The following is a 23,878-nucleotide window of genomic DNA, read 5'->3' as shown; positions in this document are numbered from 1 at the left end:
AGAGGATATTAGCAGCTCATGGAATCTACAGGAGGCCAGAGAGTTAAGCTTATACACTAAGCAGTCAGGAACAGCACTCAATTATATTGGAAGCCATGACAACCCTGTACAGTTCAAGCCATTGAAATTCTGGACCAGATAAGAGAAAGTCTTCCACTGTTCTACTGCATAATTTCTAGAAAAATGGATATCTAGCTCCACTATTGTTTTACATCCCTCACTTTCTAAGTGAAGTCTAGTGGGCACATTTGATGATCAGAGCATGGTCCATAAAGGAGGCCAGGCAGGAGTGGAGGGAAGAACCCAGGATGCTACTTAGAAGGTGCTACTTGGGAGAACCCAGGATGATACTTGGTTAGAAAGAGCTCAGAAGGTTGATAATTCCTCCAGATAACAGAAGTCTGTTCAGAAGTGTCAGGAGATTCAGAAAACCTGATAATAAATAATATATTAAAATGTAATCTAAAAACTCATGCTGAATAGCCATAAGACTTATATATTTATAATTTATTGTAGGAATAAATATAAAATATTTGCAAGACATTAATAAAGGAAATTATAAAGTTTTATTGAAGGATGTCAAGGAAAACTCAAATAGAAAGATAAATGAGAAGATAAATGAGAAGGGTGAATATTTTAAATTGTCCTTCAACTAACTTGTATTGAAATTTCAATGAAATTATTATGGACTTTTTAATTAAACTTAAGTATCTGATTCAAAAAGTAGACTTAGAGGTGAAGAATAGCTAAGAAAATTTTGAAGAGATATAGGAGGAGTATCTTGTCCTACCAGGTATCAAACCTGTTCTACAGATATAACAATTTGGTATTGTTTCCAGGAATGCAGAAAATAAAGACCCCACTTGGTATATGATAGAATTGTCATTCAAATCTGAAGGGAGAGGATGGGTTTATTTAATTAATAGTGCTCAAACAATTGGTCATCCCCATAGGGAAAAACAAGTCCTAACTCATGCTATAAACTCCAGATAGACTAATGGTACAATATGAAGGGCTAAATTTTAAAAGTTTTACAAGAAAATATAAGAGACATCTTCATTGTGTCAGGATAGGGAAAGATTTCTTAAATAATACACAGAAGCACAAACCATAAAGGAAAAGATTGATGAATTTGAATACATAAAAAATAGAAAGTTTTATATGATAAAAGAAACTATAAACAAGGTGAAAACACAAACCATAGACTGGGAAAATATTCTCCCAAGTAGCATCTTATACCTTTACCTAACAAAAGATCAATATCCGGAATATGTAAGGAATTAACCTACACAAATCAATATATAAAAATATAAACAAGCCGATATAGAAATGAGCAAAGCAGTGGATAGGACATTCACAGAAGATACCCAAATGGCCGATACATAAAAAGATGCACAATCCCACTAGTAATCAAGGAAATGCAAAATTAAACTGTGAGATACTCGTCTGTACCATTTTTAGCCATTAGATTGTTTAAAATTTTAGAAAACTGATAATGGGGAAATTTGTGTAGAATCTAGAACTTTCCCATACCATTGATATGATTGTAAAATGTTTTGATCACCTCAAAGAACAGATTAACAATATCATTCTGGTCTTGATGAAGTCACAGGGACTGGATTTACCTCTGGGCTGAAATGACTGAAAACAAGAAACAAAATATGGGAAACCATAAGGCACACAGACATTAGGCAGCACAAGACCAAGACCAAGACCATGACCTCTGAGAGACAGAAAACAAACAAGGCAAGTCCTACAATCACTCCAGCTTACTACCTTGAGAATTTGCAGATCCCACTCATGCACAGTCTGGGGCACTCCTGAGTTGTGTCAAACAGATGGAGTTGGGAGTCTACAGAGAGCAAGAGGGCTACAGTTGACAGGAAATAGCATAGGAGGGGAAAGCTACAGACAGCAAGAGAGCTTGAGGGATCTGGAGAGGTTTCCCCTTGAGTCTTCAGCTGAAGCTGCTCAGTGCATTTACTTAAGGAAACTACTCAAGTATTTGCATTGGAGAAAACAATGGAAATAATTAGTGGGTGCAATCTCTGGAACTCACACAAGACTAGGAATGGTTTGTGTCACCAGCCAGAGTGGGAAAATCTCGTAATTCACAGAGTATCAGGGAGAGTAATCAGAAGTAATCAATGATGGGAAAAAATTAGCCCCGGACTGAAGGCTGCTCTGGTTCCATCTAATAAAGCTTAAAAGTGAGTCTCAAAAGGATAAAATGTTTCCAAGTACCTTAATTGCATCCCAGGACAGAGCTCAAGAATATTTATAGGAAGTAAAAATATCTACTGAAGTCGCAGTTGTGAACAGCCAGCAGCTCCACCGGTAGGCATCTAATTCTTGCACGCACACATGGAACTGTGCACTGATTTATTGCAGTAACTGTGAAAAATCAGAAGGAACTCAAGGGTCTATCAACAGAGGGATGCATAATTAAATTGAAGTATATTCATACAGTGAGATATTATACCTCATTAACAATGAACCGAATCTATATAAGTCAACATACTCAAGTCTCAGAACATACAGTTGAGTTAAAAAAAAAAACAAGTTAAAAGGATATGTGCAGATGACACTTTATGTATATTTATAAAATACTTTAAAACAATCGCATAAATTGTTTATGGATACACACATATGTTAGAAAATACATAAACATATGCATTACTAATAATAGCTAAAATGTATAAGTGCCTGTTGAACGTTAATTTGAAACATGGTAGTGTTTGTTGAGAGGGGCGTTTAAGAGGCAATTGGGTCATGAGGGCTCTACCCTAATGAGTGGATTACCATGAATTAATGGGTTAATGCAATACTGGATTATCATGGGAGTGGGACTGGTAGCTTTATAAGAAGGAGGAGAGTAACCCAAGCTAGCACGCCCAGCCCCTCACCATGTGGTGCACTGCACTGCCTTGGGATTCTGCAAAGAGTCCCCATGAGCAAGAAGGTGCTCTCCAGATGCACCTCCTCAATCTTGGATTTTCCAGCCTCCAGACTGTAACAAATAAATTTTGTTCCTTACAAGTTATTTAGTTTCAGGTATTATTTTATAAGCAACAGAAAATGAACTAAGACGGTGTCTCTTTGTGCCAAGTGTTATTTAAGGGACTTAAATGCATTATCTCATTTAATCCTCCCAACTTTATTTGACAGATGCTGAAACTGAGGCACAGGCCCAGTAAGTAGAGGAGCTGGGATTCAAACATTTATTTCTGGCCCCAGAGTCCTGCTATCAGACTCTATTAAACTCACATATTAGAATGTTACCTACCTACTTTAGGATTAAATTAGGGGATTACTTCTGGATATAGGGTGAGGGCAGGAGAGGGATAGAGGTAGCTGTAATTTTTATTCCTTTCAGAAACAAAATCAGAGCAAATCTGCCAATGGATTAATATTGGTTAAATCTGGGTGGTGAATTCTTAAATATAACTTGATTTTCTATTCTTTTTCTTATGTTTAAATTATTTTACATTGAAATTTCTTAATTTAAAAAATCTTTACGGAGGAGGTGTGAAATTGTGGATCTTGGCCACAGAAGCCTCCTGGGGGGAAACAAAGAACAGCAGACCTGACTCCTTTCTCCTTATAAATTCAAGATTTCTCTGGTGGATTGTGGTTGTTTGTATTAAGGGCAACTTGAAGGACACTAGTAAGACCCTTCTCTTTATGTCTCCAACCTCATTCCTGGAGAACATGTCAGAAATGCGAGAAGAATGGGGTGGAAGAGTCAGAACCAATGCCCCAAACTCAGTGTACATATCAAGAGAGATGCAAGAGGACCATTTTCGTGGCCACAGCTGTGGCCATCACACTGGAGAGAGAGGTCCTTTCTTCCTTCTCCCAATACCCCTGGAGGAACTGCTTCCGGACCAGCCATGGTAGTTCCCCACCACACCTCGCACCCATGGACACTGCCATTTTCTAGAGGGGCACTGTGAGGCCAGGCCAGCAGCTGGGAAGGCTTGCTGGTGACCAGGCTGCATTCTCTGTGTCTCTCTCTCTGTATGGATGGCCTTTAGGCTAAGTCCATAGGGTTTAAGGCTTATTACAGGAGGAAGGGACCCCAGTGAAGCGAGAAGGACATTTTCACATTAGCTAAGCTGAGCTCTTTAAATCTTTTTTTTTTAAGTGACCTGATTTTGCAGCTCCAGCTGATGAAGTGGGATGTCTTGCTTCTATGTATGGTCAGGGGGATCTGTGAGGTAGCGATGCACGCTAAGGGTCAAAGATTTCCCCTGGAAGTTAGACTGAGATCTGAACAGAGTTGTTCTGCCCCAGACAAGGTCTGTGGATGAAGACCTGTCTGAGAGTTCACTTGATAACTATTTATTGAGCCTTTACTATGTGTACTTTTGTATTGCTTCTCTAAATTTCTCAGTTCCTAGGGGGCAAGAATGGTTGGGGAAGGATGAAAGCCTGAAGAGGGAAGCAGGTGATACCTTACAAACAGCTATGCTTGATAGGCTAAGGGGCTTAAGCCTGGTGGTTATGGAGAATTGGCCTCACTATTTTCACCTAATATATGTTGACTGATGCTGGAGAGGTCATAGGTGGAGGCAAAGCTCTAACAGATGAAGGGGAAGAGAACTGGGAGCAGCAGCCTCTTTGCCACTTTTTAGACCATGCCAGATTGGCGGCCACAGAGTTGGCTGCCATTTTGTGGCATTTAGTCAGGAAATGTCCACGGAGAAATCTCCCACAGTGGGGAGGGTGTTGGACAGATGACTTTCAAGGTGGCAGTCAACATTATACAGCACCTACCAACTGCAGGTGGCAGTCAACATTATACAGCACCTACCAACTGCAGGTGGCAGTCAACATTATACAGCACCTACCAACTGCAGGTGGCAGTCAACATTATACAGCACCTACCAACTGCAGGTGGCAGTCAACATTATACAGCACCTACCAACTGCAGGTGGCAGTCAACATTATACAGCACCTACCAACTGCAGGTGGCAGTCAACATTATACAGCACCTACCAACTGCAGGTGGCAGTCAACATTATACAGCACCTACCAACTGCAGGTGGCAGTCAACATTATACAGCACCTACCAACTGCAGGCCCCATGCTCATATGTGAGCAACACTTGGATCCTTTGAGGCAAAAATCTCACTATCTAGTGGAGCTGCCACAATCCAGCTAGCCAGCTCAGCCCCTTCTAGTTCTAAGATTCTATGATAGGGGTGGCTCTAGCTGAGTCTCAAGAAGTTACAAACTATTACCCGTTGAGAGAGAGAAAGCAGGAAAATAATTCTCTGATTTGTCTATCCTGCAAGAAAGCACTCTTGGATGAGTGTGGAAACCTATGTACAGACTATAAATATTGACTCAAGGTGGGGAAGACGGTGTTAAGGCAGTCTTGCAGGAGTTTGTTCCTTGGGATTCCTGCCTGTGTCTGCCAAGGTTTGGAGCCTAAAAGTGGTTTACCTATGTGAATTTCTTTATAAGACATTTTTCTTTGGCTGAAGAAGGGCAGCAGGCCATAAGTAAAGCCTGGGGTTTCAACAGATAAAGACATGGGAGAAGAAGGATAATGCTTGGCTTCCCATCTGGCCACTTTGGGATGGGGGCTCCTAGTGGTGAGTATGGAAAGCATTCTCCTCAGAAATGTTCTGGAAGTTGAGGTACAGGGTGTGCCACTTTGGCATCGTGGAGGTTTTGTGTTCCAGGTGGCCCAGCATTTTTCTGAAAGAGTAAAGATGGTAGCTAGGGCAGAAAACTGGTGGGAGAATGTCGGAGCACTGAGCAGGAAGAGGCTGATCTTGAACACAAGGAGGCCCCTCCATCTACCCCGCCAGGGACCCACAAACACACTGTATGTGGCAGGAGGTCTTCAGAGGGGGCTGCGGTCCTGGGGTTAAGCTGAAGGCTGCCATGGAGTGTGCACGCTTCTACCATTTCCCCATGTGTCTCCACTGGCTGGATGGCCCAGGTCTGCATGAAGGACAATTCTGTGGCATAAAGAATAACAGGTGTCTAGAGAGAATCTAGGTTTTTCCTCTTTGTCAAACTGGAATAAAGGGCATCTCCAGAATCACCTTCCACTGAAGAGTTTCATTCTATGACAGGGTCTACTCTGAGATTGAAGAATCTAGAGATCTGAGAGACCTTCCTCTAAGACCGTTTGCCATTCTTTGTCCAAAGTTATCCAGGAGCACAGCAAACAGGCTTTGGAGCCAAAGGAACCTGACTTCAAATCCCAGCAACATCTTTTCCTAGCTATGTGGTTTTGGGCAAGCTTTTACCTTCTCTGAGCCTCAGTTTCATCATCTAAAAAGTGGGGATGTCCTGATCACAGTGCTGAGGTAAGGACCAAATGAGATGATGTATGTAGAATATGTAGTCCAGGGGCTGGCACACAGTAAGTGCTTAATAAATGCTGATTCCCTTTCTGTTCCTTTCACTTAGTTGGAGAAAAACAACCATATCAGCTAAAGGCAGGACTGCAATAGAACTTACACCCTATGTTCTTGGTCAGGCATGGGCCCCAGATTTCAGGCTTCCCTGATGTAGGTCAGCAGCTAGGCCTGACCCCATACACCTACCCACAGCTGCACAATGCCCAGGCATCTTCTGGAGCCTTGGAGCCCTTTGATTTTCCTTGGATTCCCAAATGGCTGTTTTCAGATAGGCCTCCTCCCAGCCAGCTGCCCCCAGGGCTGGCTGTGGTGAAGCCTGCATTTGTCAAGTAGCAGCTTTAATGAAAGCGAGATGCAAACTCACACGCATTAGGAAGTAACTGAGCTTTCTCGGCCACATCACACTACAAAAACCAGTTCTGTGCAGCCAAGCTCGCTGAGATTGATTTCCTTGAGCCCTTTATCTCACTCTGATATTTTATCTCAGAAAGTCAATACTGTGGATATTGCCATCTAAACAGGACTCTCTCCTGTCCACATATTGTTGGATGGGAGTCTGGAAAATTTCTCCCAACCAGTCATTTATTTGTTCATCAGAAGCCAGCTTCTTTGTTGCTTTGATGCAAGGAAGACTAAACTTGGTGAGCCAGCCAGCCTTGCATGCAGCTGGCAACAAGACATATACAGATCCCAGCAGGAGATCAATTTTGGGCCCCAAGAGCTGCCTGTTGGCAGAAACAATGGGGAAGTCAAATCATCGTGCATTACTCTCCTATAGTACTTAAGGTAGCTTGAGAGGCAGAGAAAGTGTTTAGGTGTAGCTTGGGGGATGCTCGAGTGGGGCAAGGTAATTTTACACCTTCCTGGAGGCTGCACAGGTATGGATCTGAAGCCAGCTTGGATTCTCTTAACTTTGCCTTTGGTCACCCAGAGGAGTCAGATCCTGAGGAAACAAGTCATGTTAACCCATGGGAGGCCAAGTATAGGTCAACTATGCTTATTAATTTGTTATTGGAGGTCCAGGGCCAGTGATGGGGGTAGGTGTGTTCAGAAGGTAAATTACAAATCAGAAGGATGCTTAGTGAGTGCAAAGTTAGAGCAAAGAGCAAAGAAAGCAGGATCTTCTTGTGAAATTGTTTGTCCTTCCTTCTTCCATCCCTCCATCCCTTCTTCCTTTCTTTCTTCCTTCCCTCCTCTCTCCGTTCAGAAATTAGTGAGCCTTTTTATCATGTGCCTGGTCCTTGCCGGGCTCTGGGAATATACAGATAACCATTTCTATCCCCGGAAGCTTATGTACAATCTAATAGGGAGCCAGAAAGTCAACAGAGAATACAGAGCATAGCTGTTAGCAGTTGTGTCTTCACTTGTAAAGCAGGTGGGCTCAGAGGGCTACAATGAGGGCTCACTGAGACAACATCCATCAGGTTAGTGATAGCATGGTGCATGGCTCATAGCACTCAATAAATAAATAATACTGTTATGTTTATTCCTCATCTCCTTAGTGCTGGTGAACACACAGCAGAGGAGAGGTGAATGCTCCAGGAAATCAGTGAAGGCTTCCCATCCAGGAGCATGGGAGGATGAGTGGGCCTTCCCTGGGTGGAGAAGGGACACGAGGGTCCCAGCCAGGAGGCCAGATGCTTGATACCGTGTTCAGTGAATGACAAGGGACATCGAGGTAGAGGAGGGAAAGGGGTACAGGACAGGAATAAGATAATACAGGGTCAAATTGTAAAGTGATAGCCTGGATGCTGAAGGAACAATGGAGGTTTTTAAACCGGGAAAGCATGACTGGATTTTTGGAAAGTTAGCAGTGATGATAGTACAGAGCATGGATTAGATAAATTGTAAAAAGTCTCATTTGGGGCCCTTTTGATAGGGCAAGGTGTGAGAAGAGGAGGACCTTCTCCAAGGTTGCATTAAGAAGATGGAAAACAGACTAGATTGGTGAGATACTGAAGAGTAGAATTGTAGGAAAGTGATTACTGATTGAATTCTGGAGGGGAAGGAAAAAGGAATGGTTGAGTATATTCTTAGGGTATTTGGATGCATGATGGTCTCACTAGCCCAAGCTAGGCAGTGAGAGAGGAGGAAGAAGCATAGGAGGAGGGGATGGTTTCAGTTTGGACAAGGGTGCCGGTGCTTGTGGGACATCCAGGTGGAGATGGGGTGAGGATTGGAGACACTGCCTGGGGGCTTGTCAGTAGGGGCTACTGGAAGTCCTGGTCACTTGAGGAAATGTACAGAGAAGGTAGATGGCAGACAAACAAGTGGGTTGTTCAAAAAGAAGAGAATCCCGGCTAGGAGTCTAAGGAAGGGTTGATGTAGAGAGGGAGGGAAGGGGGACAAGAGGACAGGTGTGATCACCTGTGCCCAGGAGCACAAAAGGGCAAGTGGAATGAAGACTAAAAAGGGGCGACGTTTGGTGTCTGGGGTGCTTTCAGACAAGCCCGCGTCCTGGATAGATACGAACAAGTACTAGTGACTCATCCGACTTTACTTTTCTAAAATTCCTTATTAGTCAACACAAGTTTTGTTGACTACAATATAGCTCCTTTGCTTGGCCTGATAGATGTTTCAACAAAGATTGAACACTGAGATCTTACCATTTCCAGCCTGACAGCTTATCTTCCTTCAGGCCCGTTATTAAGATTTCAGAAGCTCCTCCATCCATCCAGGAACACACTGATATCGCTTTAGGTGAACGGTTTCCATGGAAACTAATCTCTTTGATTTGTTAATCATTTCTCTCCGTGCTAATGTCAGCAAGTGACCGGTTCTCACCCTGTCTCCTCACTCTAGCCCTGATCCATATGGATTAGGATGCAGCTATTGGGGGAACCTGGCCATCCCTGACTGTGAAGTTAGCCATCTCTTCTATACTATGTGTGGTTCTGCAGAGTAGAGAGAAAATAGTCTCTATCTAGACATCATCTAAGAGGGCAGTGCAGTTTGGTTTTAAATCCTTGCCATCCGACCTTTGGCACATGGTATGTTTGGCAAGTTACCAAACCACCACATCTTCATCTATGAAGCGGAGATAAATCCTAACTCATAGGACTATTGGGGGGATTAAATGAGGTGAGATATTAAAAGTAGGGCAACAGTAGCTTGCAATTGCTGGTATTGTCATTATTACTGTTCTAGGAATAGTTAACTTTTGAAGGAGGCAGTTGATCTCATTACCAGTATCTTCCTGAGGCGCCCTGTTCTGTGACTTTAGGCTTTTACTTTGCAACAGGGAGGAGGGAGGGAAACCCACATACATTTGCGTGGGGCTGTGATTATAAATACTATAAGGGATAATAAGCCTTGGACAAGTTTTTAAAGTGAACATGTAGCCTGGGCTCCTGTTTCCTGCTCAGGAAGGAGAAGTGTCACAGTTTCCTGTTGGCTGCACCTTCCCCTCTGCCCCACCCAGGGACCTAGAGATTAGGCATCCTCCCTTCCTCCCCACTTCTCCCTCTCCCTCCTTCCTCTTTTCCCTTTCTCCTACACCATCTCCCTTTCAGGTATCTGTTACAGAGAATGTAGGCAAATCACTGACCCATTGTGCATGTTCAGTTGAGAAACATTGCTTTTTTTTTTTTTTTACTGTTTCTTTTTGAGACTGAACAATTGATGATTGACTGACCATGCTTCTTTGGTGAATTCTTTGGTCTTGTCTTTTGCCCAATTGACTTGCTATTTAGGATGTTAGTTTTTTCTTGGTAATCATTTTGTAGTTGTTTTAGTAAGAATATTTTCTGGCATGTTTTTCAAAACTTGTCCCTGTTTGCTTTTAAATGGGCAATACAAACATGTACAAAATGCAAAATATTCAAAAGGCTTCATAGTGAGATAAAAGGCTCTCTCCATCCCCTGGCCCCATCACCCATTGTCCCTTTCCAGAAGCTGCTACAGGCACACCTCACAGATATTACAGATTTGCTTCCCAACACCGCAATAAAGTGAATGTCATAATAAAGCAAGTCACATGAATTTTGTGGTTTCCTAGTGCATGTAAAAGTTATGTTTACACTATAATGTAGTCTATCAAGTGTGCAATAACATTATATCTAAAAATGTACATATATTACTTAAGAAATACCTTATTACTAAAATATGCTAATGATCATCTGAGCCTTTGGCAAGTCGTAATCTCTTGTTGGCAGAGGGTTTTGCCTTGACATTGATGACTACTGACTGATCAGGTTGGTGGTTGCTGAAGTTTGAGGTGTCTGTGGCAATATCTTAAAATAAGATAACACTGGCCAGGTGTGGTGGCTCACGCCTGTAATCCCAGCCCTTTGGGAGGCCGAGGCGGGTGGATTGCCTGAGGTTGAGAGTTCGAGACCAACCTGGCCAGCATGATGAAACCCGGTCTCTACTGAAAACACAAAAATTAGCTGGGCATGGTGGCAGGTGCCTGTAATCCGAGCTACTTGGGAAGTTTGAACGATGGAGGCAGAGGTTGCAGTGAGCCAAGATTGCGCCATTGAACTCCAGCCTGGGCAACAAGAGTGAGACTCTACCTTAAAAAAAAAAAAAAAAAAAGATAACATGGATGTTTGCTACATCAATTGGCTCTTCTTTTATGAAAGAGCTCTCTGTAGCATGCAATGCTGTTTGACAGCATTTTACCCAAAGTAGAACTTTCAAAATTAGACTCATTCCTCTCAACCCCTGCTGCAGCTTTATCAACTAAATCCTTTGCTGTCATTTCAACAATGTTCACAGCATCTTCACCAGGAATAGGTTCCATCTCAAGAAACCACTTTCTTTGCTCATTCATTCATTCATAAGAGGAAACTCTTCATTCATTTAAGTTGTATCATGAGATTTTAGCAATTCAGTTACATCTTTGGGCTTTACTTTTAATTCTAGTTTTCTTGCTATTTCTACCACATGTGCAGTTATTACCTCCACTGAAGTCTTGAACCCTTCAAAGTCATTCATGAGGACTGGAATAAACTTTTTCAAAACTCCTGTTAATATTGATATTTTGGTCTCCTCCCTTGAATTACAAATGTTCTTAATGGCATCTATGGCATTAATTAATCTATCAGTGGCAGCTATATAGCCTTACAAAATATGTTTCTTAAATAGTAGGACTTGAAATTACTTTTTGACCCATGGATTGTAGAATGGATATCGTGTTAGCAGGCATGAAAACAACATTGCTCTCCTTGCACATCTCCATCAGAGCTCTTGGGTGACCAAGTGCATTGTCAATGAGCAGTAATATTTTGAAAGAAATTTTTTTTTTTTGTAGGCAGTAGGTCTCAACAGTGGGCTAAAAATATTCAGTCAACCATGCTGTAAACAGCTGTGCCATCAGCCAGGCTGTGTTCTTCCATTTATATAGCACAGACAGAGCAGGTTCAGCCTGATTCTAAAGGGCCCTGGGATTTTCAGGATGGTAAATGAGCATTGACTTCAACTTACAGTCACCAGCTGCATACCCCTAACAAGAAAGGCAGCCTGTCCTTTGAAGCTTTAAAACTAGGCATTGCGTTCTCCTTCTAGCTATGAATGTCATCCTAGATGGCATCTTCTTCCAATATAAGGCTATTTCATATACATTGAAAATCTGCTGTTTAGTGTGGCCACCTTCATCAATGATATTGGCTAGATTTTCTGGATAACTTTCTGTAGCTTCTACATCAGCACTTGCTGCTTCATCTTGTACTTTTATGAAGACAGCTTCTTTCCTTAAACCTCACGGGCTAACCTCTGGTAGCTTCCAACTTTTCTTCTGCAGCTTCCTTACCTATCTCAGCCTCCACAGAATTGAAGAGAGTTAGTGCTTTACTCTGGATTAGGCTTTGACTTGAGGGAATATTGTGGCCAGTTTTATCTATCTAAACTATTAGAAGCTTCTCCATAGCAGCAATAAGGCTGTTTCACTTTCTTATTGTGTAAGTGTTCACTGGAGTAGCACTTTTAATTTCCTTTAAAACCTTTTCCTTTGCATTCACAATTTGATTAACTGTTAGACACAAGAGGTGTAGTTTATGGCCTGTCTTGGCTTTTGACATGCCTTCCTCACTAAGCTTAATCATTTCTAGCTTTTGATTTAGTGTGGGAGATGTGCAACTCTTCCTTTTTACTTGAACACTTAGAGGCCACTGTAGAGCTGTTAAGTGGACTAATTTCAATATTGTCATGTCTCAGAGAACGGTGAGGTCCCGGGAAAGGGAAAGAGACAGAGAACAAACAGGTTGTTGGTGGAGCTGTAAGAACACACACACAACATTTATTGATTAAGTTTGCTCTCTTAGATGGGCATGGCTTGTGGTGCCAGAAAACAATTACAATAGTAACATTTAAAAGATTACAGGTCACCAGTCACCATAGCAGATATAATAATAATAAAAAAGTTTGAAATATTATGAGAATTACCAAAATATGACACAGAGACATGAGTGAGCACATGCTGTAGGAAAAATAATGCTGATAGACTTGCTTGACACAGGGTTGACACAAACTTTCAATCTGTAAAGATGCAGTATTTGAGAAGCACAATAAAAAGCAGCAAAACAAGGTATGCTTGTACTTAATATCAGAATCTTGTGTATCCTGCCTGATATATTGCATGCATATACAGATTGTAAGAATATACATATATATGTAGGAGTCTATATATTACCATATTTATATATATGGTAATTTATATAAATTTGTTTACATCTAGCTTTTTCACTTAATATCTAGCAGACCATTTTATATAAATTTTTATAGAGCTGCTTTATTATTTATAATGACTGTATACTTTTCCATCCTATGTTTGGACTATATTTAACCATCAAATATCGATGAACATTTAAATTGTTTCTAATATTTTCTATCACAACACGGCTGCAATGAATATATTTATAATACATGGGTTTATCTGTGGAATATATAATCTGGAAGTGAAATAATTAAGTTAAAGTTTGATAGATATGATAAGATTACCTTTTATGGAGGTGATATGAACTTACACTCCCTACAGAAGTGTTTAAGAGTATCGCTTCTTGGCCTTTTGGCTAAGATCAAGTGTAGTATCTGTTCTTATCAGAAGTGTTTAAGAGTATCTCTTTCTCTACAGTGTTTCCAAAGTTGAATTTCATCAAACTTTTTGATTCTTATCAACCTGATATGTAAATTTTTAAAACTCAGCATAAGTTCTAATTACACTGTTCTTGTTATAAAAAAGGTTGACTTTTTTTTCATGTGAAGAAAATCCATTTCTTTTTCTGTTTTGGGAAAATACGTCTTCATATACTTTGTCCATTTTCCTATTAAAGCATTCCACTTCTTATTGATTTGTATAGCTCTTTACCTATATTGGTGAATTTACCCAGTTGTGATATAAATTGAAAATATTTCTTCATAGTTTATTGCTTGTCTTTTTTAATGTTCTTGTCATGCAGAAAACTTTTTATATCTAATTTATTACATTGATCCCATATTTTCCTTTGATAAGTTTTAGGTTTTGTGTTACAGTTAGAAAGATATCTGCTTTCTGAAATTATTTTTAAACTCTCATTTTTGTGGTGTTTAATAATTATACTATATATTTATATTTGATCTGCTTGGCAAATAATCTGTCTTTTCTGCACTTCTTCTAAACACTGCTTTTATTATATGCTAAATTTTTGAATAAATTTGTGTCAATTTATGTACTCTATTCATTTCCTTTGACCTGTCTGTGGATTCATGCCTCAGTACCATACATTTTTATTTACTATAGCATGATAATATCTTTTAATATCTGGCAGAGCTTCTTTCTTCTCCTGCAGTAGCAGGAGTTGGGTGTCCATGGCATACAATCTTAAAGGATTTTTAATACAGATATTCAGATCTATTAGAATAGAGTTTAAAGTGTTATTCTTTATTTTCTTCCTCATCTGTAGCTAGATATCTATTCTTAGTCCTAATTTTGAATAGTCACTTGCTTTTCCTGAAGTTTTGCATAGTTTATGGGTTTAATGAAAAAAGCAGCCTCTGGATGAATTATCAATTTTACATTTTTTTAAACTAATCATTAATTTTTGTTTATATCATTATTTTTCCTCCTCTTTTCCTTCATTTTTTCTCTGTAATATATGTAATTTACTTAATTTATATTTATTTTTTCTTATTTGGTAATAAATACCCTTAATGCAATAACTCAGTTTTTGATTACTGCAGAGGTATTGATACGTAGCCTCCTCATCTTCATTTTTGTAACCATTTAATAATTACTCTTTTGATTTTTTCTTTTACCCTAGAATTATTTGGGATACTGTTTTTTTCATATTTTCAAGTGGTTGGATTTTTAAAATAAAAATTTTATTTGACTTAAAAAAGGAGTCCATGTAGTTTCTATTTTGGAGAGATTTTTAACTAAAATTTTCTTTGTCATCCAATATAGGCCATATATTGGTACCAAAACAAAGTGTAAGCTTTACAGGGCCCAGATTATAATGTAAATGTGTTAAGTCTGTCTTACTAACTTTATTATTTAAACCTTTTATATTCTTGTTATATACTTTCCTCATTTTTGAAGCATTAAAGAAGTATTGACCTCTCTCATTGCTATGCCTTTCATTTCTTTCTATTCAAAAATATATTTTGATGCAATCTTATTTGTTAACAATGCAATCTATTAAATATTCATGCCTTTATGAATTAGACTTCACAACAGAAAATTACAATTTCTTCTTTCTCTATGTTTTACCCATGAAGTCTGCGTTTGCTGATATTGATATTGCAACACCTGTTTTTCTTCATGTTTTTCAGATATATCTTTGTACAACCTTAACTTTAGCATCTCAGCATCTCTTTTAAAAATTATCATTATTCCCTAGCTCTTGGAAGTTTATCTTGTTGTTGTTGCTAGTGTAACAAACCCTCAGTCTTCTTATTTTTTAATGGAGATGATAATAGTAGTACCTGTCTCAAAGGGTTGTTGGAAGGACTAAGTAAGATCATGCACGGCAAGTGCTAAGCACAGTCTTGTTATTATTATTAATCCCAGAGTGATAAAAGTCATGCATTTTCTCTCTCTCTTTCTCTCTCTCTCTCAAGTTTTGCCCTTGTCACCAAGGCTAGAGTGCAATAGTGCCATCTCAGCTCACTGCAACTTCCACCTCCTGGGTTCAAGTGATTCTCCTGCCTCAGCCTCCCGAGTAGCTGGGATTACAGGTGGCCACCACCATGCCCAGCTAATTTTTGTATTTTTAGTAGAGATGGGGTTTCACCATGTTGGCCAGACTGGTCTCGAACTCCTGACCTCAGGTGACCCACCCGCCTTGGCCTCTCAAAGTGCTGGGATTACAGGTGTGAGCCACTGCTCCCAGCCCATTGTTTTTTTTTTTTTTTTTTTTCGTAAATTAAGTTTTCTTCAATTATACTTTAAACCATAGGTTGCCTTGTTAACTAATAAAGCTTGATTTTAAACAAACAGAAAATAAACAGCTATTTGTTAAGTTTAATTATGGCCATTCTTGTACTGAACAGGGAATGGGGCAAGATTTCCCTCTCAGACTTTGGGATTCTAAGCCCACAGTGACCTGCAGTGACAAGGGGCAGCCAGGCATCAGGCATCGTGGTTAAAGCGAGCTCCGCAGCCAGCCCACCACCTCCAGGTCCCAGCTCCACCCCCGCCTGCTCCCTAGCTGGCCAAGAGAGCTCAGATAAGTTCCTTGACCTCCCCACCTCCACACTCTTATCTGTGAAATGGGGATATTAACAGCAACTTTCTCATAGTTGTGTTGTGAAGATGAAATGAATGAATACATGTAAAGCACTTAAATACCTGGCCAGTCGTGAATGCTAGGTAAACAGGTGAGCTGTTAGCAGCTATTACTCATGCTCTGCTCTCCTCCCCTTCTCCGTCAGCACTGTCCAAGCTACTCTTCACTTGTATACCAATTAGTTTTCATTAATTTGATTAAGTACAAGAAATATTTTCAGAGTACCTACTGTGTTTCAGACACTGTGCTGCTACTTGTAGGAAGTGCAATATCTATCACAGGAGACAGATGTATAAATATAATAATGATAAGGCAGTGTAAATAGTAATTTAATAAAAACTTCAAACAATAAAATAATAGTAATAAGTCAGTGTAGAGTGTAACAGTGGGAAGATAAGTTGGGGGCAGAGGAGGCATAGAGAAGGGGCAGTTGCTTCTGTCTGTGGTAGGGACAGGGAAGGCTCTGAAGAAGAAGGGAGCCCAGGAATGGATCTTGAGCTGGGTCTGAGCTGGAGTCTTAGGTGAGGAAACAGCAGGCAGGAAGGCATGGTGACCTAAAACAACATGGCATTCCCACACCCATCTCTGCATGCGGCTTCTTGTCCTCCACTTGGGAACATCTCCCCATGTTGTTTGCCTCCCTGAGGAAATGTCCCTTCTCCTTCTGAAGTCCTGCTCAAGTCCTACTTTCTCCAAGAGTCCTGTGCCCAGCATCCGACTCACTCTGACTCGCTCTGATTCGCTCGTGCTGTGACCACGCCTCTGTGTCTCCCCTCTCCCTGCTCCCAGGTGGCTGCACAGTGCTGGGCACGTGGTAAGTGCATGTTGATGGATAAAATGATTACCAAAACCGTTAAATGACTAATGCTTTATCCCAACACCATGACTGTGAGAGCCCGTTTCCCACTGAAATTCCCATTGGTCTTTGAAGAGAGGAGATCAGGGTGATTTGTCTTTTCCTACCTCACACTACGTGTCCCTTTTACACGATTCTCTCAGGAATCCCAGGGAACATAAGGGACCTGGCTTGAGACTACAAAATGGCTGAGAAAGAGGAGAGAGGTGTAGAAACCTGGCGAATACAGCCCTTGTCGCTGAAATGTCAGACCCACTGAAGTCGAGCCCATTAATCTTGTTTTATTGCAAGATTCAAAATCGCCATGCTATGGCAGCCACAAAATTGATAGATGAGTTTCCCCGCGTTCACCCAGTACCTTGGCTGCCTGGGAAACCAGACCCCAGATGAACAAGGAGAGGAAATTAAAACCGCCCTTGGAGGTTTTTCAGTAACTGCTGCTAGAGAAAGACGGGGCATTCACGGTCTCTGGCCGCCAAGCTGCTTACGCTTGGATTTTACTGCGTTTTTTATAAGCAAATCAAAGAAATAGCAATGCTGAAACCATCGCGGTAAATCTTAAGCAGCTTCCTGCTCCAGTGAGGGGCAGGAGTGGCCACAACCTGGCTGTCCTGTTGCTTAAGGCCACGGGGCTGTGATCTTGTTTGGCTTTTTGTTAATGACATAGGTGAAAAATAGAAATGCCTGGTTGTTTTAATTTGGGGTTCTTTGATCACTGGGGAGCTGAAACCTTTTTCCATACGTCAGTTTTCTAGTTGGATTCCATCTTTTGTAAATAGCCATTTTCCTTCTGCCTCTAATATAATTAACGATTCAGTTCAGCAGTTCCGCATTTATTGTGGGTCTAGCACATTCAGTGATACATGGAGGTGAGTTATGTATGTCCCATTTCCTAACACAGTACGGGGGAGAGAGAGAGAGTAGGAGGGAGAAAGGGAAACAGAATGTCACTTCACTTTGCTGCAATGTGGCTGATAAGGATGCTTCCAGAATGTTTTCCCTGGTTTTATTTGCTTTTTTCAAAAAAATTTTTGGAGAACATAGAGATGTTTCTATTCTTTTAATATTATAAATTACCTATCTTTTTGTGATTACTTCCATCACTTTTTAAATACTCATTTCTGTTTCATTTTAACTTTCTGTGCTCAATTTTTTTTTTTAAAATCCCAAATCTGGCTGAAATTTATTTCCATGTTAGATTTGTATGAGTTATAGGTGTTCCTTCTTTTTCTGAATTACTTTGATTTTGCAAACATTATATTGACTAATTCTTCCCTTTTCTGTGTTTTTTTTGATAGCTCTTTCATTGGTTATACATAAAATTCCCACACATACACACACAGAGATTATAATATTTGTTTCCTTTGTGCCAGTATGCTACTCTTTATTGTTGTTGATTTTCAATACATTTCAGTATCTGGCAGAGCTAGCACATCCCAGAATTTTTTTGTAGTCTATCTTATTTATTCTTTCTTTTAACTATTAGGGATTTTTTTCCAGTTCCAAGAAAACATCCAGAGAAATTAGTTTTGACCTTATATTCAATCTATAGATTTATTTAGGTAAACCAATATGTTTATAATATGATGTTAGGAATAATGCTCAAAATCCTAAGGAAATTGAACACTCGAACAAAGGATTCTTAGCAAAGCACTTTTACTTCTGCGCAGAGGGGTGCCTCCTTGGCCAGTCACCATGAAAGCACACCTGAACAAAGGGACACTAGAGCCTTTATTCCTGACACAAGTCCTGCCCCTGTACACTTTCCCCATTGGCCGGGGTCGGGTTGTACAATCTAAACTAATCCCGATTGTCTAAACATTTGATTTTTTTTAGGTAAGGTGGGCACGGAAAAGAAAATGGAGAGGAAGGGGAAGAGGTGTCTGTAATGAGCTAGAAAGTTAGTCCTCTTTCCAAATGAGGAAAGGTTGTGAGCTGGTACTGATAACGCCTGGTACCGTGGCGTGCCTGGGCATCTAACAAAAGCAAAAAGGAAAAAAGAAGAAAAAGGGAGGGGGTACTACGAATTAAATAATAAAAGATTGATCAGATTATTTGAAGAGAAACCTCATCATATCCCACAATAACATGAATAGCACCATCCAGGAATGAATTATATTTTACTTTCATTCAAATTTCTTGTAATTTGTCCCAAAGTTTGATGCTTTGTTTATAAAGCCACTTACATGAAATATATGTTTAGTATAATAATTTGTACATTTTGCTATAATTTAGATGAGATTTATTTACATTTTAGTAATGTGCAAGGAAATTATTATTTTATTTATATGTATATCTTGTATCTGATTAATTTACTACACTTAAAAAATTAATTCTGGAGGTTTTCAGTTAAAACTTGCTTTTGGCGCCGCTCGGCCCAGGGCAGGGACCTCGCCAGGGCCGGGACCGCCCGGCCTGGCCCCGGCCCGCGCCTCCCCGCGCCACCCCGTGCCCCGCACAGCACTCTCTCCGCACCCCCGCCCGCGCGGCCGGACCGGGCAGCCAGAAAAATCATTTTTCTTCTCTGGGAAGGTGAACATTTGTAGCATTGATTTCCCGGATCTGGTAACATGGCAAAAGATGCCGGTCTAATTGAAGCCAATGGAGACCTCAAGGTCTTCATAGACCAGAACCTTAGTCCTGGAAAAGGCGTGGTGTCCCTCGTGGCCGTTCACCCCTCCACCGTCAACCCGCTCGGGGAGCAGCTCTTGGCAAAAACCTCTGGACAGTCCAATGTCAACATTGCCCAGCAAGTGGTAGTTGGTACACCTCAGAGACCGGCAGCGTCAAACGCCCTGGGGGTAGGAAGCCCACACACCCCAGCACTCACTTTGCCTCTCAGAACCAGCCTTCCGACTCCTCACCTTGGTCTGCCGGGAAGCGCAACAGAAAAGGAGAGGAGAATGGCAGGGGCCTGCGGCATTTCTCCATGAAGGTCTGCGAGAAGGTGCAGAGGAAAGGGACCACTTCCTACAACCAAGTGGCGGATGAGCTGGTCGCGAAGTTCAGTGCTGCCGACAACCACATCTTACCAAACGAGTCAGCTTGTGACCAGAAGAACATAAGACGGCGCGTCTGCGATGCCTTAAATGTGCTGAGGGCCGTGAGCATCATCTCCAAGGAGAAAAAGGAGATCAAGTGGATTGGTCTGCCCACCAACTCGGCTTAGGAATGTCAGAACTTAGAGGTGGAAAGACAGAGGAGACTTGAAAGAATAAAACAGAAACAGTCTCAACTTCAAAACTTATTCTACAGCAAATTGCCTTCAAGAACCTGGTGCAGAGAAACCGGCACGCGGAGCGGCAGGCCAGCCAGCCGCCGCCAGCCAACTCGGTCATCCACCTGCCCTTCATCATCATCAACACCAGCAAGAAGACGGTCATCGACTGCAGCATCTCCAACGACAAATTCGACTATCTGTTTAATTTTGACAACACATTTCAAATCCACGATGACATAGAAGTGCTGAAGCGGGTGGAGTCCGGGAGCTTCTCTGCTGAGGACCTTAAAATGGCCAAAAGTCTGGTCCCAAAGACTCTGGAGCGGTAAGTGACAGAAATGGCTCAGGGAACTGTGGGAGGCGTGTTCATCACGATGGCAGGTTCCACGTCTAACGGCACGAGGTTCTCTGCCAGTGACCTGACCAATGGTGCAGATGAGACGCTGGCCACAAAGTTCCAATGGGTCTCAGTACAGCAGCTCCAGGGTGGAGACCCCGGTGTCTTACGTCGGGGAGGACGACGAGGAGGATAATGACTTCAACGAGAATGAGGAGGACGACTGACATCCTCCCCACTTCAAATTCAGCTTCAGGAAAACGTTGAGGGAAAAGATTTTTTTTTTTAATGTGGGTTTTCTGTTTCCTTTTGGCCTACTCCCAAGAAAATATTGGTAAGCTATTGAATTTAGATATGCACCTCTGATAAGCAAGGATTGTTTCCCGTAGGATTAGGATGTGCTGTGGATGTGTGTTTTGATACCAGTGTGCAGATGCAGAGTGTTTATTTAGTTTTTAGGATTTTGTGTTTTCATTTTCTATTTTTCTTTAAGTGCGGAGTTCATTTTTGCCCCTGAACAGTTTTTGCTGAGTTTGCTGAAGAAATTGTATTTCATCCACATCCATGAAAATGAAACGCCCTCCTGTTGTGGATGGTGAGCACCTGATGCCTTTTATTTGCCGTGAGTTTGGACGGCGCCCCCGCTGGCAGATGGCGAGACTCTGTGGAGTTTGTTCAGTGGTATGGTGTCCAAGCAAACAGCATAATTCGACTTTCTAAACAGCCCCAAGCAAACAGCAGAATTCGGCTTTTTATTATTATTATTATTATTATTATTATACTTTTAAGTTCTGGGGTACATGTGCACACCGTGCAGGTATGTTACATATGTTTTACATATGTATGCATGTGCCATGTTGGTGTGCTGCACCCATTAACTCGTCATTTACATTAGGTATATCTCCTAATGCTATCCCCCGCTCCCCCCACTCCATGACAGGCCCCGGTGTGTGATGTTCCCTTTCCTGTGTCCAAGTGTTCTCATTGTTCAATTCCCACCTATGAGTGAGAACATGTGGTGTTTGGTTTTTTTGTCCTTGCGATAGTTTGCTGAGAATGATGGTTTCCAGCTTCATCCATGTCCCTACAAATGACATGAACTCATCCTTTTTTACGGCTGCATAGTATTCCATGGTGTATATGTGCCACATTTTCTTAATCCAGTCTATCATTGATGGACATTTGGGTTGGTTCCAAGTCTTTGCTATTGTGAATAGTGCCGCAATAAACATACGTGTGCATGTGTCTTTATAGCAGCATGATTTATAGTCCTTTGGGTATATACCCAGTAATGGGATGGCTGGGTCAAATGGTATTTCTAGTTCTAGATCCTTGAGGAATCGCCACACTGACTTCCACAAAGGTTGAACTAGTTTACAGTCCCACCAACAGTGTAAAAGTGTTCCTATTTCTCCACATCCTCTCCAGCACCTGTTGTTTCCTGACTTTTTAATGATTGCCATTCTAACTGGTGTGAGATGGTATCTCATTGTGATTTTGATTTGCATTTCTCTGATGGCCAGTGATGATGAGCATTTTTTCATGTGTCTTTTGGCTGCATAAATGTCTTCTTTTGAGAAGTGTCTGTTCATATACTTCACCTACTTTTTGATGGGGTTGTTTTTTTCTTGTAAATTTGTTAAAGTTCATATGGAACCAAAAAAGAGCCTGCATTGCCAAGTCAATCCCGAACCAAAAGAACAAAGCTGGAGGCATCACGCTACCTGACTTCAAACTATACTACAAGGCTACAGTAACCAAAACAGCATGGTACTGGTACCAAAACAGAGATATAGACCAATGGAACAGAACAGAGCCCTCAGAAATAATACCACACATCTACAACCATCTGATCTTTGACAAACCTGACAAAGACAAGAAATGGGGAAAGGATTCCCTATTTAATAAATGGTGCTGGGAGAACTGGCTAGCCATATGTAGAAAGCTGAAACTGGATCCCTTCCTTACACCTTATACAAAAATTAATTCAAGATGGATTAAAGACTTAAATGTTAGACCTAAAACCATAAAAACCCTAGAAGAAAACCTAGGCAGTACCATTCAGGACATAGGCACAGGCAAGGACTTCATGTCTAAAACACAAAAAGCAGTGGCAACAAAAGCCAAAATTGACAAATGGGATCTAATTAAACTAAAGAGCTTCTGCACAGCAAAAGAAACTACCATCAGAGTGAACAGAATTCGACTTTCTAAACAGCCCCAAGCAAACAGCAGAATTCGACTTTCTAAACAATAAACACCATCAACCTTATTGACTTTATTGTCCCTTAAATTATATTGGCTGTTGTGATTCCATCAAGTTTATACACTCTTTTCTCTCCCTATTTTGCAGCAACAAATTGCAAAGTGCTTTTGTTTGGTTTTGTTTGGTTAAAGCTTATTGCCATGCTGATGCGGCTATGGAGACTATCTGGAAGGCTTGGAATGGTTTATTGCTTATGGTAAAATTTGCCTGATTTCTTACAGGCAGTGTTCGGAAACCTTTTATTATATAGTTGTTTACATACTTATAATTCTATCACTTAAAGACATGTACTGAAACAAATGTATTTGTTTCATAAGCATCTTCCTGTAATCTATTATAAAATTGAAATTAAATATAGAGAATGTTTTAACAATTTTTTAACTCAAAATTTGTCAATAATTTTTAATAGTTCTTTTTTTATAAAAAGAAAAAGGAATTTAAGGACAGGCCATAGTCTCTTTTAAAATTTATTCACAAAACCCATTAACTGCGCAGTTGCTATTAGCTGCCTGTTCTAAAATGATAGTCTTTTTATTGAAACACCAACTTTTCTGTAATATTTTATGGAATATAAAGAGACTTTAATTGTTTGACTTGTTTAACTTGGCACTGTTAGTTTTTATTAATAAAACGGTCATGGGCATTTAAAAAACAAACAAAAACAAAAACAAAAACCCTGCTTTTGTAGATATGGAGTCATAGCATCAGCATATAATGGCACTTTGTCTCTTTCTAATTAATCTATATCACTGTTAACTGTCTTTTCTTTCTTATGTTGTTTCAAGACTCTGTAATAAAAATGGTGGTAGACAGCAGTCTTTGTTCCTGAGGTAAGTGGAAATTTTTTGGTACAGTGTCACCTTTGAGCATAATCCTGAGGATATTGAGCTAAAGATATTATTTTTATTGTTAACAGCGCCAGCAGCACAAACACTGATATTGGTGTCTACTGTGTGGTATTGTGTGCCAGGCACTGTTCTAGGCTCTTTCTACATATGTGACTTCATATAATCCTCACATGAAATCATTATTTCCATGCTACAGAGGGGTCATGGGGCACAAGGAGATTGGTAACTGCCCATGTCAATAACAGAAAAAGGACATGAATCCAG

The 23,878-nt window shown here is 40.7% G+C and overlaps 2 pseudogenes; both read left to right on the top strand.

The window, feature by feature from the left end:
- The first annotated feature begins 13,373 nt into the window (after window positions 1–13,373).
- LOC124903591 (uncharacterized) lies at window positions 13,374–13,531 on the top strand (annotated as a pseudogene).
- On the top strand, window positions 19,315–23,416 carry TFDP1P3 (TFDP1 pseudogene 3; annotated as a pseudogene).

The sequence above is a fragment of the Homo sapiens genome, chromosome 15 (assembly GCF_000001405.40).
Source record: "Homo sapiens chromosome 15, GRCh38.p14 Primary Assembly".
Taxonomy (NCBI): Eukaryota; Metazoa; Chordata; class Mammalia; order Primates; family Hominidae; genus Homo; species Homo sapiens.
Note: the sequence above shows the minus strand (reverse complement) of the source record. Positions and strands in the feature narration are given on the sequence as shown.